Consider the following 24,876-nt stretch of genomic DNA (forward strand, 5'->3'; position numbering starts at 1 on the left):
AACTACTAATCTATCAACCAAAAAGAAACAAGATAATCAAAATAGAAATAAAAATGAAGAAGCTCCTTTTTAGTTAAAATTAAATATTTATTTCATTTTTCCTAAATATGAAATATTGACAACTCAAATAGAAGCATGATAAATTAGAAGTTAACTAATTTAAGGTGCACTGCTTAGGGACACTGATGGTAAAAAAATGTGAAAGCAAAATTTTAGCTTTTCACCACTGAAAAAATGATTTAAAAAATTGAAAATAAGCTTTCTTAATTAACAAAAAAGAGCTGATTAACAATATATTATAAAAATATAATGTGCATGTTTTGATACATTTTAATTTTCAAGATTTATTTTGTTAGCCCATAATAAAACTTTTAAAAAATTCACTAGAGATCAAGAACATTGAATTGCATTTATAATAGTTATTTTAAATCAACTGCATATCTGAAAGCTTTCAAGTTGATATTTAAATTTAGTTTGTCCTAATTTGGTAGATAAAATGCTGTTTTTTCCTACAGTAAAAGAAAAACAATCATTTTCAAAATTGGAAAAGAAAAAATAATCTATAATCCTTCCAGACCAACCCCATAAATATTATGTGGTTTTTAGATATTATAAAACTGTTATTTCAAATGCATTACAATAAAGAAAAATCATGGATTACAAATCAATAGATAAATGATAATCTATTTCAATCTGATATAGTAGAAAAAATAATTGGGTTTAAGTCTTGTCTACTCAACTTACTGTCACATGTACTCAAATTAATTTAATTTCTGTGACCCTTACTCACCTCAATTGCCATTTCAAAATCACAGGGTTTGCTGTGAGGCTCATATGGGATAATGCGGAATTCTATATATACATAAGATATTATTATCATTAGTAGGATTCATGATAAAAATCCCAAATTACAGACTCAACTTGCCTAAATCCTAAAGCCAATAGGTCATTCACTGAATTATGCCCATTTATAAAAGCATTTAACATAACTCTAAGAATACTTAACAAAACTTACTTTCAAAAATATATATGCCCACAAAAATATTTGAGACTTAATACTTCCTGCCAAATAACTATGACATTCAAAACAAATATATTATTTTTTTTATTAGCAATGACAGTAGGGTTTAACATGCTTCATATTATGATAAATATCCCCAATAATTTATGGTTCTTTCTTGCTTTCAACACATTTTTCACTTCCATGTTTGAAATGGACATCTCCATTGGGCCTTTTGCTGTTCTAGACCCTTATCTCCAAATAAATTATAATTTGGAAAGAAATAATGGGCAATAATAATGCAAACAAAAAGTGAGCTGTAACTGCCGTAAGAGAAGATGCAAATAAAATTTCTGGAATAAGTGGTAGACATATATTTAGTATGGGAGAAGAACCACTTATCTCAGTATCTAAGAACGCATTAATGAACAGTCTACATTTTCTAGTTGAACAAAAAATATGATAAGATCACCAGTCAAAAAACAAATCACACTTGACATATGCATGCATTTTTATAATTCTGGAAGACATGAATATTTTCCAAATGCCTTAATAGGTTTTTAATTTTCCTGTATAGTATGTAAATAGCATGAGAAGAAAAATATTCAGGGTTTCAAGTAATTTTTATCAATGAGCAAAATGTAGTTCATTGTAGACACGAGTACAAACTTCAATACTTAATTAGCACAAAGTTTCATCATTTAACCTACTGATACTTGAAGAAAAGGGCTAAAGAGATGTGGCTAAATTAACAAATCGCAAGTTATCTATAAGTTACGTATAAAAAGCAAGGATAAACAGACATATTTGAGAAAGCTTGAGCTCACTGATGAAAAAGAAGAGAGGCTGGCAAAAAACAGAAGGAAGGAGGGAAGATAGGAAGGAGAAAGGAATGAGCACTTAAGTTGAAAATGTGCAAATGCATGAATAAGGATAAGATTTTAATTTTACTTTCTTTCAGCATTTTTTAAAACTCTAAATTATTAAAATGGTGTCTGAGAACCGGATGCAGATTTTTTTTACTAAGAAAATAAAATTACTAAATCATCGAAGTTTAAGTTTTTTAAAAAATAAATACATTAAGAAATACATTGCCATCAATTATGTTCTATTAACTGTAGCTAAGCATTTTCTTATAAACGGGCCTAATGTTGATGATATCAGCATCCATGGAATGTATTAACATGGTAGAAGATGTGCTGCTAGGGAAAGAAGAAACCTAATTTATCTTCAGATTGCAGACCTCTGGGATTTCTGAGGTAGTAAAGGGAAGTCAAAGGTCTCATGTTTTACAAATCTCACAAGCCACAAAACTATTCTATGATCACCTCTACTGTATATTATTATTTAACATGCATATGTAATTTAAAACTTTTTAAGGGTTAAATATTAAATTATATATGAGTTCATATAATATTACTGCATAGTCATTTATTTTTAAAATAATATTTAGTATCTCTTAGGACTTAATTGCATTCTATTTACTTAACTGTAAATATAGAATATACTTTACTGACCCTACTAACTTCATAACTTAATACACTCACCACTAATGATGCACATTAAATTATAAAATAGGTTTTTAAGTGAAAAATCCAAGATATGACCAGTGATGGTATGTCCATGTTCGCAAAGCTATCACAGTAATAAAATGTAGAAAATTGAATCATTAACAACTTGTGGTCAGCATCTGACATCCAGCTACCAGTTCTCTTGTGGACATAAAATCTCATCCTAAAAAATGAGATGTTAGTAGTCCCACTTCATATCAGGCATATATCCATTTGAGTTTGGCTGTGCCCTTCTGGCTAGAATAAGCATACACTCTCCATTTTCTCCTCAAACTACCTCGCTATTTTTCCCAGGCTCTTTCACTAACTCTTAGAAAAGCTTTATGCCTCCTGTCCCTTACAGTCAACCAAATGCTCATTTGTTTGCATATCTTTAATAGCTGTGACACAGATCAGGCAGATTGCAAAGTCAATCATATCTATTATCTGGCTATTACTTGCTGAACTGGCTTATATAATTAACTCAAGCATTTTTAGACTGTTACCAAAGGCCTTCATATTAGACTCAACTGCCTTTCAGAATCTCTGTTTCTATGTTTTCTACACACCCGAAACATAAGACCAATTAACAGATCAATAAGCAATGTGCCAAACGTCTTTTCTGAGCTTTGTTCATGTCACTTCCCTTGCTCAGAACCCTCTTCCTCATTTCATCACATTATTAATTCAATACATATTTAATTTAGTGCCTACCATGCTCCAAACACCTTTGTAGATTGTAGGGATAAACCAATGAGGAAAACAGTCAAAAATTTAGGATCTCATGGAGCTAATGGTCAAGTGGGATATGACATAATAAACAAATCAATAAGCATGAGATAAGTATGTCAGATGGTGAGTGACATAAAGAAATATGAAGTCAGGGAGTAAGTAAAAGTGCATGAGGTGATGGGGGCAATTTTAAATAGGGAGGAGAGAGAAGGCCTTACTGAAAAGGTGACATTTGAGCAAAAACCTGAAAGGCATGAAGAATGAGTTCTTAAAGATAACTAAAACAAATGCCTCAGGTGAAAGGAAAAGGAAAATCAAAGGTGCTGAGGTCAGAAGTACTTGAAGGACACCAAGCAGACCCTGTTTAGCTAGAACAGAGTGAACGGGGTGGCAAACAGAAGAGCTCAAGATGTAATAGGATTTTGGAAAGGAGTTAGGTAGTGTAGGGTCTTACGTTGCAAAGATTTCAGCTTATACTCAAATAGGAAACCATTTACGATAGGGGGAAGACTGTAAGAATAGCTTTGAAGAAATGAAGATCAGGAATTTAGTTTTGAACATGTTAAATTTAAGATACAGTTTATATATTCAAATGGAGATGTCGAGGAGGGAGTCAGATATCAGGAGAAATGCACAGGCTAGAGACATAAATGTGGGAGGTCTGTTAGACTCTCCTGCATCCCTTAAGATACAGCTTAAAAATCACTTATTCTGTAAAGTCATTTGCAATCCCATCTCCCCCAGTCAGAATTAATTTAATTTTGTTTATATCTTACTATATAAGATATAGCACTTATCACTATCTAATTTGTACTAAAAATTATTTTATATATGCCTGTCTTTTTCATCTGGAGAGATATGCTAACTAAAGAACTATGTCTATTTTATTCTTTTAATTCTAAATGCTCTCTACTATATATTAAATATAGCAAATAACCAATAAATGCTAGCCTAACTAAACGTGTTTTGGGGGATTTTAATTGACTTCTCATAGTTTTCTTCTTAAAGGCAGGGAGCTAAATATCTATGACCTAACAAAACTTGTTCTTTCTTCTGTGCTATATATATATGCCCAAGTCAAATTTAATCTTTCACTCTCTCTCTCTCATCTTACAAGACAAATCAATCACCAAATCTTAACAGTTACCTTCTAAATATATCTTAAATGTATCCACATTTCTCTAGCCCCACTGGCATTACTGAATATAAGCCTTCACTGCTCCTTGCCTAATTAACAACTTACTGACTGCTTCCACTCTGGGCCATAGACAAGGGCAATACATATGTCAACACCAATCACAGCGGTCTCTTAAAAGCACAAAATCTATTCATGTCACTTCTTTGCTTCAAACTCTCCCAAGTCTCCCCACTGCACCCAGGATAAAGTTCATCCTCTTTCACAAAGCAGAAGGCCCCTCATGATTGGTCCTGAATCTCCTCTTTCCTCTTCCTTCTCTTCATTTCAGACGCTGTATCCATGAGCCCAAGGGGCATGAGCCTACTGTACTAAATTGCTGGGACTTGTTTTACTGTAGGTATCTCCTCTAGTGCAAAAGCCCACTGAAGGCAAGAATTGTGTCATATTTGGTGCTATATCACAACCAGAGTCTGACACTGGATAAACACAATTAAAATACAAAATTTTAAAAGTAAATGATATCTCAGGGTTCCTCCAAACTTTTTAATCTAATTTACTTTTGTACAGGTTATAATTTAATAATATATTATTATATTAAATTCGGGGTTTCTAAAAAAGTATGGTTCTCCAACAATCTCCGTTTCAGATCCATTTACTACTGTCCCCATTCCAAAGTAATGAACTGGGATGACATTTATGATTCCTTCTATGTTCTAGTACCAAGTAGTAATCATTTCTACAGGAGAGAAAGAAAATAATTTAAACTGCAGCAAGTCAGATTGTACTTCACCATTAGATTGAATTTATCAACACTAAAGGAATCTGAAATGAGTAGGCAACCTCAAGAGAAGGGGAAAAAATCAATGACAATAAATTGCCTAGAAAAGCTTAGATATTTGCCTAATATTTAGATGTAGCTGTCTAGTCAAATTCATTTAAACTTCATGAGTCTAATTTGTTACATAAAATTTGGTCATAATAATTCAAGGTTCAGGCTGAAGAAAGTAAACTATTCTGAACCCCAGTTTCTAAATTTAAGTGAATTTTAAAGATTTAAAACACAGAATCTACTGGGGATTTTAAAATATTATTTATCACAGTGATAATTCTCCAACCCAATTTTAATACTTTGTATTTCAGTCTTCAAGATTACAGATTGTTGCTACTAATTGTCTGTTTATTTTTAGATGAAGTACACATCAGAAACATCATTGTTCAAAAAGGGTGAAGGCATTCTTTCCATAAGCCCAAACTATCCCTTGATGTGATTCCAAAACAATGCTCTGAATCTGCACTGCCCCAAGACAGCAGCCACTAGCCACAAATGGCTATTGAACACAAAATGTGTGGCTAGTCTCAACACAGATGTGCCATGTAAATAGAGACATGTTGAGTATAAAATACCACTGGAAGACTTAGTATCAAAAAATGTAAAATATCTAATAATTTTATATTGATTACATATTGAAATAATATTTTGGATATATACGGTTAAGATAAATTATTAAAATTAATTTTTTTTTACTTTTAAAAATACGACTATGAAATCATTTAATTACATAAGTGGCTTATATTTGTGGTTTGTATTATATTTCCATTGGAGAGTCGCTCTAAGTCTACTTAGAAAACTGATCAACACTACTGATCTGCTTCTTCAGGGAGAATAAAAACCATCATTGAGAGGTCAGATCTGAAATGGAATCACCAATGATGCAGAGAAATACAAATTATCCACAAAACTTTAAAAACAGTAAATTATGCTATAAATAAAAGATTGCTTTAGTGTAAAAAAAGGTCTCTTCTTTAAAATAAAAAGAATTAACATTTTAACCTTCATTTCATAGGAATAACCTCAATTTTGGGTAATATTATTCTTTGAGTATTGGGAAAATTTAAGAAATAGGGATTTTAAGATATTCAAGTAACAGCTCCCCCTCAGCAAAAAAACAATTAAGTTACCAGAAATGTGACCCTATTCTTATTTTTTTCTTTCTGAAAAAATTTAAATCTTCTTCATACCTTACATTTCGTTTTTGGAAAATCTCACAAAAACATTTTACAGAATGTATACTATATTAATCAGGCAAGGTATGCTTTAGGATCTACTCAATAAAATGATTCCTACCACCCCACCATCATATTTCACCATCTCCTCTCTACTGTTTAACATTTCTTTAGTATTTCTAGGAACTCCAGCAAGACAATACAAATAAAGTTGACAATTATAACTAATAATGACTCCACCTGAAATATGTGATAGCTGAATGAAATATTTACATATATTTACATATATTACAGTAATTTAAGTGTGTTCTTTTTTTTTTTTTTTTTTTTTTTTGAGACACAGTCTCCCTGTCACCCAGGCTGGAGTGCAGTGGCGCTATCTCGGCTCACTGCAAGCTCCGCCTCCTGGGTTCACGCCATTCTCCTGCCTCAGCCTCCCGAGTAGCTGGGACTACAGGTGCCTGCCACATTTTTTGTATTTTTAGTAGAGACGGAGTTTCACCGTGTTAGTCAGGATGGTCTCGATCTCCTGACCTCGTGATCCGCCCGCCTCGGCTTCTCAAAGTGTTAAGTGTGTTCTTATATATTTATCTCTATTATAATAATTTAAATATACTTTCTAAGGTGCCAAAATATAACATTTTAAAAATAAACAGGATCAAAACAACAACAACAGAGGCATGATTAAATTCCTCCTGTTTTAGAAAGACCAACCAACAGGAGGTTCTTTAAATAGCCTGTATAACCATATATTATACAATTGTCAAAGTATTTGAAAGTCACTAAGTTTTAGGGCCCAAATTAGCTGGTTATCAATATAAAAATGGGGGTAATTTATCAATGCCCTACTTACTATCCTACAGATATTAGGGCATGGTGATGGAGATGGAGAAGGAGAATATACACATTGGTGGAAAAATATCAGTAGGCTTCACAAAGTAAGTTCTGAAAAAAATTTTGTGCTTCCAAACATAATGAAACATATTCCAAACATAAGAGGGAGCTGGATTTGACTCCTTATTATTTGTGATGAAACAAGAATAATAAGAAAAATAAGGAAGAAGAAAGGTAAAGAAGACCATGTGATTTCTTTTGATGTTATAGTTGTTTAGATTTCTTTTTTATTTTTTTTACAGGTAGGGTATTTTAAAGAATTTTTAGAGAAAATGAAACCAGACACAAACCAATTAAAGAATCTTGAAAGAAAAAGGCTGAGGTTCAGGAAAAAAAGAAAACAAAATCACTAGCATCTATCATATGTACCTCCTGCCCATCAAAGCAATGAACAGGAATGTCTAGTACAGATAGAGGCAGAAAGCTGAAGATACCTACTATTGCTATTATAAAGCAGCAAAACATAATATTCAAATTCATGACTTCATTTTTGTTTATATTTCTAGTAGCAAACTTAGGTATGAGGTTAAAATTTGGTCATGAGATGCTTAACAAATGAAGGAATTTGGAAAGAAAAAAAAACCCACACATAAGTCTTCAATTTCATAACAAAATGTCAGGCTTATCAATATTTTCATTTCTCTTATTATTTCTCAAAAGAGTTACATAAGTAATTAAACAGCTTTGAGATTAGAGGTAAAATTTAACAAAATTATTATATCTGTTAACTATTCTTACTTACTTTTATCTAAACATCCAATTCAAAATTATTTACTGGTGATTTTTAAAGAGTATGATATATAATTTTCAAGAGTATATCAGAGTATATTATTTGTGAGATCAAAAACCCTGATAGATGTCCCAATAAAAGATTATTTTTGTATACAATAGAATCTTCTTTAATAAAGTATCTTTCACATAAGCAATGTACTCTACAGTAAGATGTGAATACATTTTGTAGACTTTAAAGTATCATACCTAAAAGCAAGATGCAATTGTCATTATACTGAAAAAATTTTTAAGTACTCTACAGTAACATACACATTAGCAGTATAACTTTTCTCCTTTTGGACTCCAATATTTCTCATCTGGCACTTATTTTCTCCCATATGGTATAATTATTTATATATGTCATATTTCTCTATGGAACTATAAGGAACTTCAAAACCATAGGGATATCTCATTATACTTAATAGATCTAACACAGTACACCTTGCAGAAAGAGACACCATTTAAAAAAAAATAGACTGTATTTCTGTAGGTAGAAGCAAAATTCTAGTAAGGACTATTACTAGCTACTGTGCAGTTTTTGATCCTTTGATCTTTCATGCATATAGATAGAATAACTCTTGTTTTTGCTTTATTAATAATGGAATGCTTTACTAAGCAAAATCAGGTATGCTTTTAGAACCAGCAGCAGGCAAAACACAATTATTTCAAGAACGGGTACATAGGATATCTAAATATCTATGTCTGAGATTTTTCTCATGGTATTTTTCAGACTATAGTAATTTTGTTCACTGAGTTTGGAATTCCAGCCAGGCACAATGGCTCACACCTGTAATCCCAGCACTTTGGGTGGCTGAGGAAGGAAGATCGCGTAAGACAGTTCAAGACCAGCCTGGGCAACATAGGGAGACCCCATCTTTACAAAAAATAAAAAATTAGCCTAGCGTGGTGGTACATGCCTGTGGTCCCAGCTACTCAGGAGGCTGAGGCAGGAGGATCACTTGAGCCTGGAAGGTCGAGGTTGAGGCTACAGTGAATTGTGATTGTGCCACTGCACCTCTAGCCTGAGTGACAAAGCGAGACCTTGTTTCAAGAAAAAAAAAAAAGAGTTCGGAATCCCATTACGCATGGTGCCTTACATGCTTTACATTCACACTACCTACCATATTTTCCCTTCAACAAAAAGATTCTAAAGAGAAAGGGAAAATAAAAAAAACACTCTACAACAAAAGACAGAGAGAGAGGAAGGAGAGATTCTGATAGAGGAGAGACAGTCATGTAGAACTTACAGGGAGAGGCCGGGCGCGGTGGCTCACACCTGTAATATCAACACTTTGGGAGGCTGAGGCAGGCAGATCACTTGAGGTCAGGAGTTCCAGACCAGTCTGGCCAACATGGTGAAACCCCATCTCTACTAAAAAAAAATACAAAAAAACTAGCCAGGCGTTGTGGCAGATGCCTGTAATCCCAGCTACTTGGGAGGCTGAGGCAGAAGAATCGCTTGAACCCTAGAGGTGGAGGTGGCAGTGAGCCAAGATCACGCCATTGCACTCCAGCCTGAAGGACAGAGCAAGACTCTGTCTCCAAAACAAAAACAAAAACAAAAACAAAAACAAAACAATAACAACAAAAACTCCCAGGGAAAGACAAGAGATAGAGACAGAGAGAGACATGCTGTAATTCTTGGCCATTTAATTAAGGACTTATCTTCTGAGATTTATCTTTTGTAAATAGGGCTGTATGGCAGTAGAGAAAATTTTCAACATTCACTCAACAAGTAATGCACTGGCAATAACAACTATAAAACAAAACATTTCTGTACCTTAATATCAGAGGTATCACGCTGACTGTTTCGCCAAGCTCTGGAAATTGATGAAAAAGTTCGATCTGCATGATCAAATTTGCCTCCTTGCAAATTTAGGAAATAAGTTGTAAAGGGTTCCTAAAAAATAGCAATTAAAAAAATCCATATGTTCCCTCAGGCATAAAAATGTGGTTTTTATAAATTCTTAGAACTAAATACTTTAATGACTAATAGGCATTCACTAGTAATATAAACTAGGTATATAATGAGAATTATATCTAAATTATTACATTAATGTTCTCAAGTTATTTTTCCCTCAAAAGAAATATTTCTAAATATTTCAAAAATTTGGTATTTGCAACATTTTCTTCAGGTAGCCTTCCTTTCCAAGAATAATGTATTAATATCATACAGACATAAATTAGATGTATTTTCTTCATAGTACAGGGAATAGTCCAGTATGTAGTTTTCCTATTGTTATGGCTCAATATTTAATTTATGATTAAGAAAAGAAAAATGTTTGGATGATTTAAAAGCCTCCTCTTAGTTAAAGAACACTTAAACACATATTAGTGGATAATTGCTTGAAATTAGCTAAGCACTATAAATTACTTCTAGGATTTATGTCTGCCTGTATCCTTCTAACAAGCTTTAATTAATGATGTGCTGCTAATGCTTTTCCGAAGAAATTGCTTTCTAGTAGATGAATCACCTTTCAATTTCACAGAAACATTTCTTGTTTAACCAATATATTATCAATACACGACAGCCTTAGTTTTACCAACAAACTTACCTTATTCCATTTGGGACAACCTTCCAAAATATATAAGTACATGTCTGTGTTAGTAACAACTTACTTAGTTCTTATTTTAATAGACTACATTTTAAAAGAATTTATGCTACAATTTGGAATCTGGTAAGACAGCAAGCATCTGAAGGGGCAAATTTAAGAAAAAAATTCATACAATTCCAGATGAAACATTTTTAAGGCAATACAAGCCAAATGAGATAGAGATATTTATAATTAGAACTTCAATAATTTAAACTGACTCTTTTAGTATTCAAAAAAATATGCTTATGAGTTCTAATTTTTGCATATCCTTCACAACACTGAATTTATTTAGCCATGGTGTATTATTCAAATTGAACTTACTATTCTTAGCAGCCATGCAAGAACAAAACTTGCAGTTGAGTAATGAGTACCATAGTGAAACTTTGGAACTTGATCATCTTCCCATGATTCATAACGCTCAGCGAAGAATGCTGCTCTTTTTGGGTTCAGAGCTCCTATTGGCTGCCAATAGGGAGGGAAAAAACAAAGAATACATCAATGTAATCATCCTTCATGTCTTCCTCTCTTCTGATGATATCCTACTGGTAAGTATAAAAGTGAATTTTAAAAATATATACTACTTAAGCTGCAACACAGTATCATATTGGGAGTAAAAAGCAATATTTTTTCCAACAAGTTAAACACAACATATAAGTAAGTGAATGGATGAACCCATCATTTCTCCATAAGTCTAGTTTTCATGGAACATAGGTGTTTAATCATCCCATAACAAGCATCAGATAAAGACAATTACATGAAGTGAAATATCAGCTGTACAACACTTTGGAAAGCACCTATAAAACCACATTTAGTTAATTAGAAGCAACAACCAGAAACAGAATCTTAAAGCTGAAGGACTGACTTATAATGGGTTCTTAGAAGAGGATGAAACAAAACTGGGAGATAGGTGAGATGGAGCACAAAGGAAGAAAGAAATTGTGGGAAAACAGGGTTAAGAAACTAGAAATTTCTACTAGTGTGAGTGAAAACAAAGGATAAAAATATGCCTATATGTCTATATAGGATATATAGATATATACATATATATGTATATACTTTAACCAGAGGATTAAAAATATGCCGGCATGAACTCTCTCTCTCTCTCTATATATATATATTATAAAATTAAAAATATCACATTAAAAATAATGCTATATATATATCGCATTAAAAAAAGAATAGTAGACAGATTATGAACTTATACTGGAAAATAATACTTTACAGCAGAGGTCCCAGAGCAATATAGCAACATGGTGAAAACCCTGAGCTCACTGGAATGATAATAATACTCATTCAAAAGGTTGTTTTGGAAGATAAAAATGAGTAGGTACGTTAAAGTCCAACAAACTATGCCTGACAACGTTCAATGAATGCTAACTATGGTTTTTAAGATAATTGTTTAGAATTTGGGTTAAAGAGTTTGAATGAAATAATTGCCTTTAGCAAATTGCTTAGCATAAGATAAAGCTTAATAAATGTTAGTTGGTACCTGTATCTTTATTATTGCTACTGCTGTTGTCATTTAGGTAATACACGAACTCCATTAAATAGCAGGCAAAATTCTGTGTGATCAAGCCTATGCATGTACATATCCTTACAAAGACGTAGAGAATATGCTTGAGAGTCTCAAAGGAGTCTAAGGCTCAAAAAATGTTAAGATCAACTGCTTTAAGTAACAATTCATTCTCAAAAAACATTCTGATCTCTAGAAAATCTCTATTCCGTATTCAAAATGTTAAGTACCCACTCACTGAAAAAGACATGATATATAAGATTACTTCTTTTCATAAGATACAGAGGCCAGGTGCAGTGGTTCACACCTATAATCCCAGTGCTCTGGGAGGTCGAGGTGGGAGATTGTTTGAGTCCAGGAGTTCAAGACCAGCCTGTGCAACATAGTGAGACCCTGTTTCTACAAAAAAATTTAAAAATCGGCTGCGCATAGTGGCATGTCCCTGTAATCCCAGCTACTCGGGAGGCTGAGGTAGGAGGATTACATGAGCCCAAGCACCTTAAAGCCTACAGTGAGCTATGATTGTGCCACTGTACTCCAGCCTTGGTGATGGAGAGAGTCCCTGTCCTGTCTCTAAATAAATTAATAAATAAAAAATTCTTTATTTAAAAAAAGATACACAACAGTCTTTTGCCTTATATCATTTATGAACACCTATTAGTTAATCACTCCTTATTTATAACAGAAAGAAAATATCTGATTATTTGTGGAGAAAATGTTAAAATAAATAAATCAAAAATATTGGTTTAAAAGGGATGCACTGAGAAATATTTTATTGAAAATGAAGCAATGTTCAGACCAGTTTTTAAACTGCTTTTCATGTTACATGTTAAGCAACATCTTAAATTTATCATTTTGGTTATCCTTATTAAATTGTTAATTATTTTTTCAAAACTATCTTTGGCATCATCACTCAATAGCTTGGTTTTAATGAATATTATTGTATGTTAAGGCATTTTTTCCTTTACAAGCAAAATTTTAAAAATCTTTAATTACCATTTTAAGTCAGTTTCACAGTAAACTAATTTAAAATGCTATCTTTTAAAGCATTAGTTTCTGTACAAAAGAATCATATCTGACTTACTAAATATGTGCCAGTTAAGAATGGAGCTGACTCCAAGGATTCTTTCTTTGTTACAGAACCAATTTGAAATGCCTTTAAATGTATTTTAGTTGTTGTCCCTAAAGAATGAGCCATGGAAAAGAAAAGAGAGAAGAAATAAAATCACTAGAAGACAAATTATATGAATTAAAAATAGAATCAATGCTCCTTTTGTATGGTCTGAAGCATAATAAGTATTCACTTTATCTGCTCCTATTTTTATTACTCTCCAAATGAGTAACCCCCAAAATCAATAGTTATAGAATCACGTTTCTTGAATATAATGCTAAAACCAATTAGGATTGATTTCACTAGCATCTGAAAAAAAATGGCATCTTGCAGAGATCCATATTGGTAGAACCCACAGTATTGATTTTGGCTGTTATTGTTACAGTTGGTTTCTGAAGCCTGCTATACGACAGCTATCAAGACATACCACGTTTATTTGCAAGCATATAAAAAAGAAGTCCCCAAATAAAAGAAAGTTAAAAAAAAAAGACCAGTGGAGCTGTGCAATGACAATGATACACTATCAGCTTACTCAGAGAAGTTACAGTGGGAATACACACATTGAATTATACATTACGCGAAAGCACTGATTTATTGTGGTAATAACATCCACCTCATTAAAAGATTCTGCTTTGCTGCAGTTGGAAGGCTACATATTGTTTACTGCTATAAATTAATGGCAGTGCAAAGAAGACTGTGGAACCATCCTAACAATAGATCTGTAATGACAGTGCTGTATATCACAGCTTCCTCAGCAGCTTCATAATAAAATGGAGACAATGTATTGAGCTAATACATTCTACCATGCTGGCCCACATTTTTCTGACAACTGCTTTAAAAGATGATCTGAATTCAACTATGTTATAATGCTGCAAAACATTTAACTAAGCAAGAGTCAGTCATATACCAAAGTGCATCAAAGCATTTTTAAAACATTGTCTAAATCAGCATTTCAGGATGTTTATTCATCTCTGCAAAAGAACTAAAAGTAAATGCTGACGGATCCTCTTACTTATATAGTATATTAAGAGTCAAAATTCTAAGTCAGTTTGGGAAGATGCTAGCACCATCATCCTACATAGAGCTTACTGTACAATGTAACAAGCTTGACAAAGTATTTTTCTTAAAAAGCAAGATTTTAAAGGAAAGTGACTCAAAATACTGGCCATTAAAAATGGTCATAATTTCTTTTAAAAAATCAGTAAAAGTAAGTATTGATTAGAAAGTATAAAAGTGGTATAATTCCAGGTAAACACAAATAGCTCTAGAATACAGAAAAATAATTTTAAACACTACAAAAAGCTAACAAATAAATAGAATTATAGAAGGTTTTCTTAACTCTACAAACTAAGAAAAAATCTCAATCACAATACAATGAAAAATAGGTTTAAGTAAAATAGAATAGAATAATTTAAAATGTAGAGTATTAGGTCTAACAACAAAATATTATGTTAAAAATATAAATAAAGGACAGGCACAGTGGCTCTGCCTGTAATCCCAGCATTTTGGCAGGCTGAAGCAGGAGAATAACTTGAGCCCAGGAGTTTGAGACCAGCCTGGACAACATGATGAGATCCTGTCTCTATAAAAATCAGAAATCAGATGGGCATGGTGGTGTATGCCTATAGTCCCAACTACTTGGGAGGATCGCTTGAGTCCAGGAGGTTGAGGATGCAGTGAGCTGTAATCGCGCCACTGTACTCAGCCTGGGTGACAGAGTGAGACCCTGTCTCAAACAAAACAAAAAGCAGAAATAAAAACTTAGATTAAAGTAGGAAAAGACAAATTAAAGAAAACCAAAACTCTTGGAAATGGTATGAATAGCCAAAAATCACTGTATTTAGGATATTTTAATAATTTCACAAATAGCAAAGCTGACATCTGTGGTAGAATAATAAGTATTCTGCTTATGAGATAATAATGATATCTTTCAAAACAGGATATGCAAAATAAAACTTGTAAAATTGGTTTTGTAAGAAGACTGCAATTAAAAAAACATTTTTTGTTACGTTCTTTGAGAAGTAATTTTGCTAGTTAACAAAATCCCTGCATATAAAGTGATCAGTTCAGTGCCTGGTACATAATAATAATGATAATAATTATTATTTTTTTCAGGTTATTTGATGAAGAATATTTAATAAAAAAAGGCACTAAGTAAGCCTGATGAAATTAATGGGATCTATTAGGAAAGACCGTGATTAAACATCACAATCCTCTAAAGACAAAGCAGGATAAGAACATATAGTACTGTGGATGATCTGTAAGAAGCCTAAGAGTAAACAGTAGTCCCCATCAATGAATTTTACTACTTTAAGAACATAATCAAAACAAAATTACTTTTCAAAAATCCAGGGGCCTCCAAATTTTACTACGAAAAGCATAAGAAATATCAAGCAACTTATAATCACCTCCTACTATATTATTTATAAAGAAACAGTTTGAATTAACAGACTCCTTTAAAAGCACATAACAGACTTTGGTCTAATATTAGTAAAAGCTGTAAAAAGGTATCTGTTTTTTCTTTCTTTATTAAAATTTTAGGAACTCTTACCTGAAGTTATCTAATTAAGAATACCACCTCCAGCTTACATTTTGTAATTTATTAAACATTATTATACATTCTCATAATAAATAGGTAATCTAGATATTCCTATTTTAATAATAAAGAAATGAATTGAGTAACCTAGCTCGAAATCAACATAAATTTAGAAGACTCAAACCTAGTACTCAAAAGTCCTTCTCTGGGCCATGTTATGTATTTATATTTAAAACTATTGTATTACAAGTTGGTTTTCCTAATTTCAAAAATGTGCTGTAATCTCAATTTTTCAAATATTTCTTTACTTAACAGGTTGATTTAAAGGCCAATATAAGTAAGCACTTAGAAGAGTTCCTGGCACACACACAAAAAAATACTTAACAAGTGTAGCTGCTATTAATGTGCTTATATACCATAACTATAATTCCTTCTTTCCTTCTGAAATTTATATATGAATGATTACAATTAATATCAACCTTTCAGAAGTGAAATTCCAAACTACTGGACTATACTTATAGTTATTGAAGGTAAGAAAGTTCTGGGAAATTGGCAAGAAATCTCAGATTTTTTACAAAGCAGAGATTTGCTTGTGTTAGCTAACTTCTCTTTTAAAACCCAAAAGTCTCAAGGGAGTTTTTCACACCTTTCTGTAAAGGCTTTCTTTGGAAAATCATTAAACTCCAACGTTTGGAGATGAGAAGCAGAAAAGATTGGGGTTAAAGAAAAGGAAAAAAAGGTAACTCTAAACCAAAACACTAATAAATAGGGTGCTTGAAAATGCTTAAGCATAGTATTTTATCAAGATACATTCTGTGGGTATACAGAGGAGTGAAGAAAAGTTGTCAAAACTGAAAAGAAGCTCAGGAAAGGGAGGCAAAAGAGCAGGACTGCTTTACAACCCTGCTTAGGATCCTGATGACTGGCTGAAAGCCATCTGCCAATGTAATCTTCATTTGATATGACTGGGAAATCAGAAACATCCTTTAATTTCGTGATGACAGATAAAGCCTGCCTTACAGTACTGAAGAAGGTGCATGCAATTAGAGGTTATATGTTATTTCATTCTTCCCTAAAAGTAGGGTAGGCCACAGGAAACAAAAGAAAACCACTGCAAAGTAAGAGGAAAAAACTAGTAAGGAATAGAATACAAGATGGCTGAACTCAATGTTCTTCTATGCTATAAAAATGTCAGGTTAAAGGACAGAATATCATCAAGCATCTGATATATGTTAACATATTAAGTAAAAAATTTCAAATTCAGAGAATAAAAGAGGATAGATACACTATTAGGAAATGTTACATCATAAAAGATGGTCATTCTTGATTAGGGAATAATGATTTGGTCTGAGAAGACTCCAGGGAAAAACTATGATATATATGTCAAAGGTGCCATTTTATCTGATGACAATGCTACTATTTGCTGAATATAAGCAAAGGTTCTACGAGTCTTACATAAATCATCTCATTATCTTTACAACAACTCTTAATACAAAGACCAATTAGCATCCCCAATTTGCAGGTGAAAAAAACAGTTCGGGAGAAAGTAAATGACTATCAGTGGTTGGTTACCAGCCAGTGGCAGCAGCAAGATTAAAAGCCACCTCCTGACTTTTTAATGATCGCCATTCTAACTGCTGTGCTGCAGAGGATGTAGAGAAATAGGAATACTTTTACACTGTTTGTGGGACTGTAAACTAGTTCAACCATTGTGGAAGGCAGGGTGGTGATTCCTCAGGGATCTACAACTAGAAATACCATTTGACCCAGCCATCCCATTACTGGGTATATACCCAAAGGAATATAAATCATGCTGCTATAAAGACACATGCACACATACATTTACTGCGGCACTACTCACAACAGCAAAGACTTGGAACCAACCCAAATGTCCAACAATAATAGACTGGATTAAAAAATGTGGCATATATACACCATGGAATACTATGCAGCCATAAAAAAGGATGAGTTCATGTCCTTTGTAGGAACATGGATGAAGCTGGAAACCATCATTCTCAGCAAACTATTGCAAGGACAAAAAACCAAACACCGCATGTTCTCACTCATAGGTGGGAACCGAACAATGAGAACACTTGGACACAGGAAGGGGAACATCACACACCGGCACCTGTTGTGGGGTGGGAGCAGGGGGGAGGGATAGCATTAGAAGATATACTTAATGTAAATGATGAGTTAATGGGTGCAGCACACCAACATGGCACATGTATACATATGTAATAAACCTGCATGTTGTGCACATGTATCCTAGAACTTAAAGTATAATTAAAAAAATATATATATATATATATATTTTTTTTTTTTTTTTTTTTTAAAGCCACCTCCAACCAAACTGACTAGCAAATCCCAGAGTGATTTGGGTTGTGTGGACTGGTACGCTGCCTCTGCAAGGCCATTAGAATCCTTTCATGGGAGCTTTAGATTAAATGCTCTTTTGAAAAAATACTATTAAAGTTTTTATCCCTACTTACATAATGTCTGTGGATATCACCTTAGAAGAAGGCATCAAAACCGAATTTTTTTAAAAAGCGTATTTTATCTTGGGGACATCAAAAACATGCTTGGCAAATACAGTTTTTTTAAAAAATGTGAACAAAAAAGGTAAATGTTGTCACCAAAGTTTATTGCCTTATCTTCCTTTTAACTTTTCTGTTTTTTTCTTTTCTATCTTTTCCATGAACCCAAATGAGAGCCCTTAATTTTCTGTGTTGCTGAGGCTTTTTATAGAAGCCAATGAATTTGATTCCCAGTGTCTCCATCACCTGCCTTCCTCCCCCACCACTCTAGTGAAGAAAATAAATAAATAAATAGTGTCTGTCATTTCAGCAACATTGCCACTGTTAGGGGGTGCAGCAACTATTTTCTTTCAACTGTAGCGCTCTTTCATCTAAATGACAAGTATAACAGGCAGCCTGATCAGCATTTTCACTCAACCTTGGCTTTTAGGGTATTTCGTTATATGCTATATAAGGCCGAAATGGTTTGGCACTTATCCTCACATGCTCTAGATTTTATTTAATACTGTCAAGAAAAAAATTTCATCAGCACACCACCGTGGCTTTTAGAGTTAACAAATAAGCACTTTTGTTGTCAAGTACCAGAACACTTTTTAATCCCTTGAAAACACATCTTCTTACAAGTGGCATTAAATATATACTCACTACACCATTTCGATTTAACAAACACATCTTGGGGAAAAGAAAGTATTCCATTTTACTTATTGTGCCTATGTAGAATCTAAATCATTTCAAATGCTTGCACTGATAGATTTACTAGTGATGTCTTCATAGTTCTATGTTATTCAGCTACACAGTAAGTATTAAGTAATTTTTCTACAGGTGTTTATCTCATTTTGAGAAAATCACATAAACTGTTAAAAATAATCTATTAATCCAATGCCACTGCTGAGCTAAATGCCTATAACGACCCCATAGACAGTCCAAAAAATCCAAGGATAATTACTAAAAATGTTTTAAGTTATTATGAAAATGATAAAGAATGCTGATATAACAAGATCTATCAATTTGCAGATATATTCATCTGCCCACTTAAAAAACCAGTTAAGGCCATTAAAATCAAATAAATCTATATGCTTTTAAGATAGGTCATTAGTGGCATACATGTCAACATTCTGCTAGCTTCTATAAACCAGAAACAAAACAAAATTGGGAACTACTTAAGAAACATTCAGCTTTTGAAATTCATTTTCTATTTGCTTTGAAAGTCATCTGAATATAATAAAACTGGTTTTAATTTCGGAAAACCTCTCTCTCTCTCTCTCTCTCTCTCTCTCTCTCTATATATATATATATATATATATATATATATATACATATATACACACACACATATATATATGTTGTTTTGCTCAACGCTGAGTTGGGAAACTGTGTGCTTATTGTTTAGCTTAAGCCTGGGCTAATGGCACTAAATATTTCAATGATTTGCATGTGAAGCACAACAAAATATATGATTATAAAAAGCAAGGAGGATTCCAAATCCATAAAGATTAGTAAAAATAGTTATTTTATTCTGTTTTAGACTAATAAATTGCTTTTTGGAAAAAATATTAAATCGTTTTAAAAATGTGTTTATTTATTTAGAGACAGGCTCTTACTCTGTTACCCTGGCTCACATGCAGTGATACAGCCATAGCTCACTGCAGCCTCGAACTCCTGGGCTCAAACGATTCTTCTGCCTCAGCCTCCTGAGCAGCTAGGACTACAGGTGCATGCTACCACACTGACATAATTTTTTAGTTTTTTGTAGACCCAGGCTGGCCTTGAACTCCTGGCCTCAAACAATACTCCCTCCTCAGCCTTCCTAAGTGCTGGGATTACAGCCATGAGCCACCACCCTTGGCTGGAAAAATACTAAATCTTAATACAAAAATTAGACATAAAGTAGCATAAGTTAAAGATATCAATATATAAGGCATGGATGGAACTAGAGGCATTATGTTAAGGGAAATAAGCCAAGCACAGAAAGATAAATATCACATGTTCTCACTCATATTTTGGAGCTAAAAAAAAAAGTGGATCTCATAAAGATTAAGAGTTAGACTGGTGGTTATCTGAGGCCAGGAAGGGTAAGGGGAAAATCGATGAAGGGAGATTGATTTTAAAAATTATGTTAAAGAACACAGAGAGAGCCAGGCATCTGAGTTGTAAGGCATTTTAAAACTATAGTGTACTTCAAATATCAAACAAGGAGATAAAATATTGTTTGGCAAATGTAAATGAGCCTATGTGGTAGCTTTCAGAAGAAACAGGGCAACTGGAATCAATTTAACAAGATAATCTCTAATGATTCCATAAGTGCAACAGAAGACACTCTAATAATTCTCATGACTTAAGAATAGCCATGGGTCATACATAAGAGCTGGTAAATGTTGATAACGCTTTTGGAGTAGATTATTAGCAATGTGAGGACTGACAGGCAGTTACATTGCAGTTGTATTCCTAGAAAAAGCCCAATCCTGGCAAGGAAGGTCAATGATATTCAACCTCTAAAACAATCCCCAAAATGAAGCCCTTATACCAAAAAGCAGACTCTGCTAAAATAGTCCAGTCCCTGTATATTCCTCCCCAGTGCTCCCTCAAGGAAAGCAAAATCCACTAGTCGAATAAAACGGGAGCAGCCAGATTGCTGACCAAAAACTTTGCTCCATTGCTGGCGAAATGAGTCAAAAAATAAAGGCGGATGAGATTCACAACTGCTATCTAAAATTTACCTTATTTCTCTGTGCAAGAGGGTATGTTGGGATAGTCATCAACATAGAGAACTTACATTTTACCCTTTTTAAAATGAAAATTTTATTGTACTTTTCCCTCTACAACTATATATCTGATCTATATGGTGGGGGAGGGGGTTAAATTTAGTCATTTAATTGTAGTACAGTGATAATCAATACTTATGAGGGACTAGAAATAAGCCAGTAAAGCTCGGATTTAGAAACCACTGCACCTGCAATAGCTGGACAGGGTTTTGGGCTGCCTCTACAATTTAAGACAAAAAGAAATAAAACATAGCATAAAACATAATAAAAATCCTTTGTTCAGTTTATAAGTTACTACCTTCCCTTTATCAACTGGAAAAAAAATAACCTCATGTAACACAAATCATATGAAATAATTTTATGTGTCAACTTGACTGGGCCACAGGGTGCAGAGATTAAGCATTATTTCTTGGTATGTCTGTGAAGATGTTTCCAGGTGAGATTAGCCTTTAAACTGGTGGACACAGTATATAGATTTCTTTCTCCAATGTGGGTGGGCATCATCCAATCTGCTGAGGATCTGAATAGAAGAAAATGCAGAGAAAGGAGGAATTTGCCCTTTTTTTCCTGTCTCACTGCTGAAGCTGAGACAGCTCATCTCATCTTTTCCTGTTGTCAGTCTGGGATTTACACCATCAGCTCCCCTGGTTCTCAGGCCTTTAGACCTGCAATGAATTACACCACCAGCTTTCCAGGGTCTCCAGCCTGCAGATGGCAGACTGTGGGACTTCTCAGCCTCCCTAATCACATCAGCCGATTTCTCATAATAAATCTCTTTTTGGATACAGATACATAGATAACTCCTATTGGTTCTGTTTCTCTGGAGAACCTCAAGATACCACATCAAGAGGAAATGAAATTAATTCATAAGGTAAATATAGAGTATTTCTTCATATTTTGAGATCAATATTGAGATTACAATCACTTATAAAATAGAATACAAAGTTTTATAAACTACCTCATTCTGGTAATAGATGGCAAAACTATGGTTCCACCATCCACACTCCTTTTCCCAAATGAGGCACCTTTTTTAAAACTTTCAAATTTGACATTACTTAAGAAGCTCATTTTAAAAAGTGATTTAACAACACGTGGAGGTCAAAGAATGCACTAGACAATTCACAGGAAGAAAAGCCTAAGAAGTCCATTAACCATGTATCCAAAATGGGTAATTTCATATTTAAAAAGCTAGCTAAGTTGACCATTTCCTACTAAAAGGAACCAGAGGTCCTTAAACAAATCGCTGATTCTAATTCTGGGGCAGGAAATATACAAAATAGCCTAGGACACCTTGTTGTGCCACAAGGCAAAGGATTTGTCAAATATTAATGGGATTGTATCTAAGGGACATAAGACCCTTCTTAAAGAGACCTCACTAGACAAAGTCGTGGCAATTTCGGTACCACAAAGAATAATGCAGTTCTACCTTCATATAAAAATGTAGAAAGTATCAGGGAATGTTGCTGTCATTGTAACAACAATAAAAAGACTAAAAGTTGATAACCATTTTTGTACTAATCAGAGAGCTGAGGTAAAAGACAACCAAATGAAGTAAATTCCAAAAAGTTACAGGCCTCTTCAACGAGAGATGGTACAAACTGCTATAATTTTGGCAAAGCATGGGAGGAAGAGGTAGTCAACATAAAAGTAGGTAAGAAGAAGGCCGGGCGTGGCGGCTCACACCTGTAATCCCAGCACTTCGGGAGGCCGAGGCAGGTGGATCACTGGAGGTTAGGAGTTAGAGATCAGCCTGGCCAACATGATGAAACCCCATCTCTAATAAAAATACAAAAATTAGCCAGGCATGGTGGCAGGCACCTGTAATACCAGCTACTTGGGAGGCTGAGGCAGGAGAATTGCTTGAACCCAGAAGGCAGAGGTTGCAGTGAGCCAAGATCATGCCCTTGCACTCCAGTCTGAGCAATAAGAGTGAAACAGTGTTTCAAAAAAAAAAAAAAAAAAAAGGGGGGGGGGGTGGGCAGGAAAGAAGAATCTGCTAAAATTTATAAAGAATTTCTAAATACCAGTATTGGGTGAATAGATCAATGTAGAAACACACGGGAGTTTGCATGCACTTGTAAGCTCTTTTCCACGGGCCTCTCCCATTGCTCATGAGAGAGAATACGACTGAGGCAAGGTAGAAGACCAGGGGGTAGCTCTCTAAGTAACACAGGCACACAGGATATGATTTACAGTTACTGGGAATGGCAACAAAACAGAAATCAAAATCCTTAAGCTGATGGGAGAGGAACACCAAACTCTCATTCCAGGTCCTAAGCAAATATCAACTTGCACATGGGGAAAGAGTACGAGCAAAACTAATCTACCGCAGGAAAAGGGATAGAAAATCCTGTGTACCACCCCTAGGACCCAGGCAAAGATCCACTGCTTCTGGGGTAGGGTAAAAGCAAAAGCCCTTTCAAGAAGACATGTCCTGCACTGATGCAAAGAAGAGGTCTGCTACTACTGGGAGAAGGATAGGAAATTCTTTCCTGTGGATGCCATGAGGGGTAGAGGCAAGAACACTGAGAAAGTCCGTACCTGAGGACCATTTCAATGGGATCTACTTAAGAATGAGGATGAATCAGGAGAACTGAGGAGCTACCCTATCCACCCCACAACAAGCCTGGCACTGAGTTACCAACAACAGCAATCTACTTCTGGAAAAAAAAAAAAAAAACCAGAAAAGTACATAAAAAAATGCCTCTGTGGCACAGGCATAGAGGGTCGGCTAGAGAGTAGAGCAAGAACAGTGAGAAAAAACATCCACCACCCAGGCCAAATTCTTACAGAAGAATTTGAAGTTTATACTGTATTTAAGGTAATAATAGCAATAACAAACCTAACTAAGCTTATCTATTGACTAGATTGACTGAACTCCCCACACTAACTACCTGACATAAGAAGAAGCATATACTTCTTTGGGCATAAAATCTTATTCATATCCCAGCCTATACTGTTCTCCTATCTCAGATAAAATAGAATCATAAAAATAATCTAAAAGAAGCACATAAAGGGAGACAAAGTACAAAGAACTGATGTGTAGAATAAAAAACAGCAAGAAGGTAGATTTAAGCCAACCATATAAAAAATTACATTAAATGTAAATGACCTCAACACCCCAATTAAAATGCACAGATTGTCAGACTGGGCATGAAAGCAAGGCTCTATTATATGTTGTCCATAAAAAAAAAGTTAAATATAAAGCCATAGACAGGCTTCTTAAAATAATAGAAAAAATGCTGCAAGTAATAATCAAAATAATGCCCTCCTGGGATATTAACATCAGAAAAAGTAGATTTCAGAACATGAAATATTACTAAGTATAAAGAGGGACATTGCATAATGAAAAATGAATTCTTTTATCAAAAAAATAACAATTTGAAGAGTGTATGCACTGTATTAGTTTCCTAGGGCTCCTATAACTAAATATCACAAACTAGGTGGCTTAAAACAATATAAACTTATTGCCTCAGAGTTCTTGAGGCTAGAAATCTGAAATCAAGTTGTTGGCAGGTTCATGCTCTCTTTGAAGCCTCTAGAGGAGGATCTTTCCTTGCCTCTTCCAGGTTCTGGTAGGCTCAGCTGTTCCTTGGCTTGCAGCAACACAACTCTAATATCTCCTTCCATCGTCATATAGTGTTCTCTCCCTGTATGTCTGTCTTTATATGACGTTTTCATACAAGAACACCAGTCATATTGGATTTGGGCCCACCCTAATGACCTTATCTTAAATT

General features: G+C 34.0%; 1 protein-coding gene across 11 annotated transcripts in view; it reads right to left on the reverse strand.

Annotated features, from left to right (window-relative positions):
• The window catches only part of LRBA (LPS responsive beige-like anchor protein), a 751,293-nt gene that overhangs the window by 161,285 nt on the left and 565,132 nt on the right, over nt 1-24,876 (reverse strand). For all 11 annotated transcript variants that reach the window (XM_047416462.1, NM_001367550.1, NM_006726.5 and 8 more), the window contains 2 exons: nt 11,005-11,145; nt 9,870-9,989 (listed from right to left, as the gene is read on the reverse strand). In XM_047416462.1, the coding sequence (XP_047272418.1) occupies nt 9,870-9,989; nt 11,005-11,145 (261 nt within the window). The remainder of the gene's footprint in view (nt 1-9,869; nt 9,990-11,004; nt 11,146-24,876) is intronic.

Source organism: Homo sapiens, chromosome 4 (assembly GCF_000001405.40).
Source record: "Homo sapiens chromosome 4, GRCh38.p14 Primary Assembly".
Classification (NCBI taxonomy): domain Eukaryota; kingdom Metazoa; phylum Chordata; class Mammalia; order Primates; family Hominidae; genus Homo; species Homo sapiens.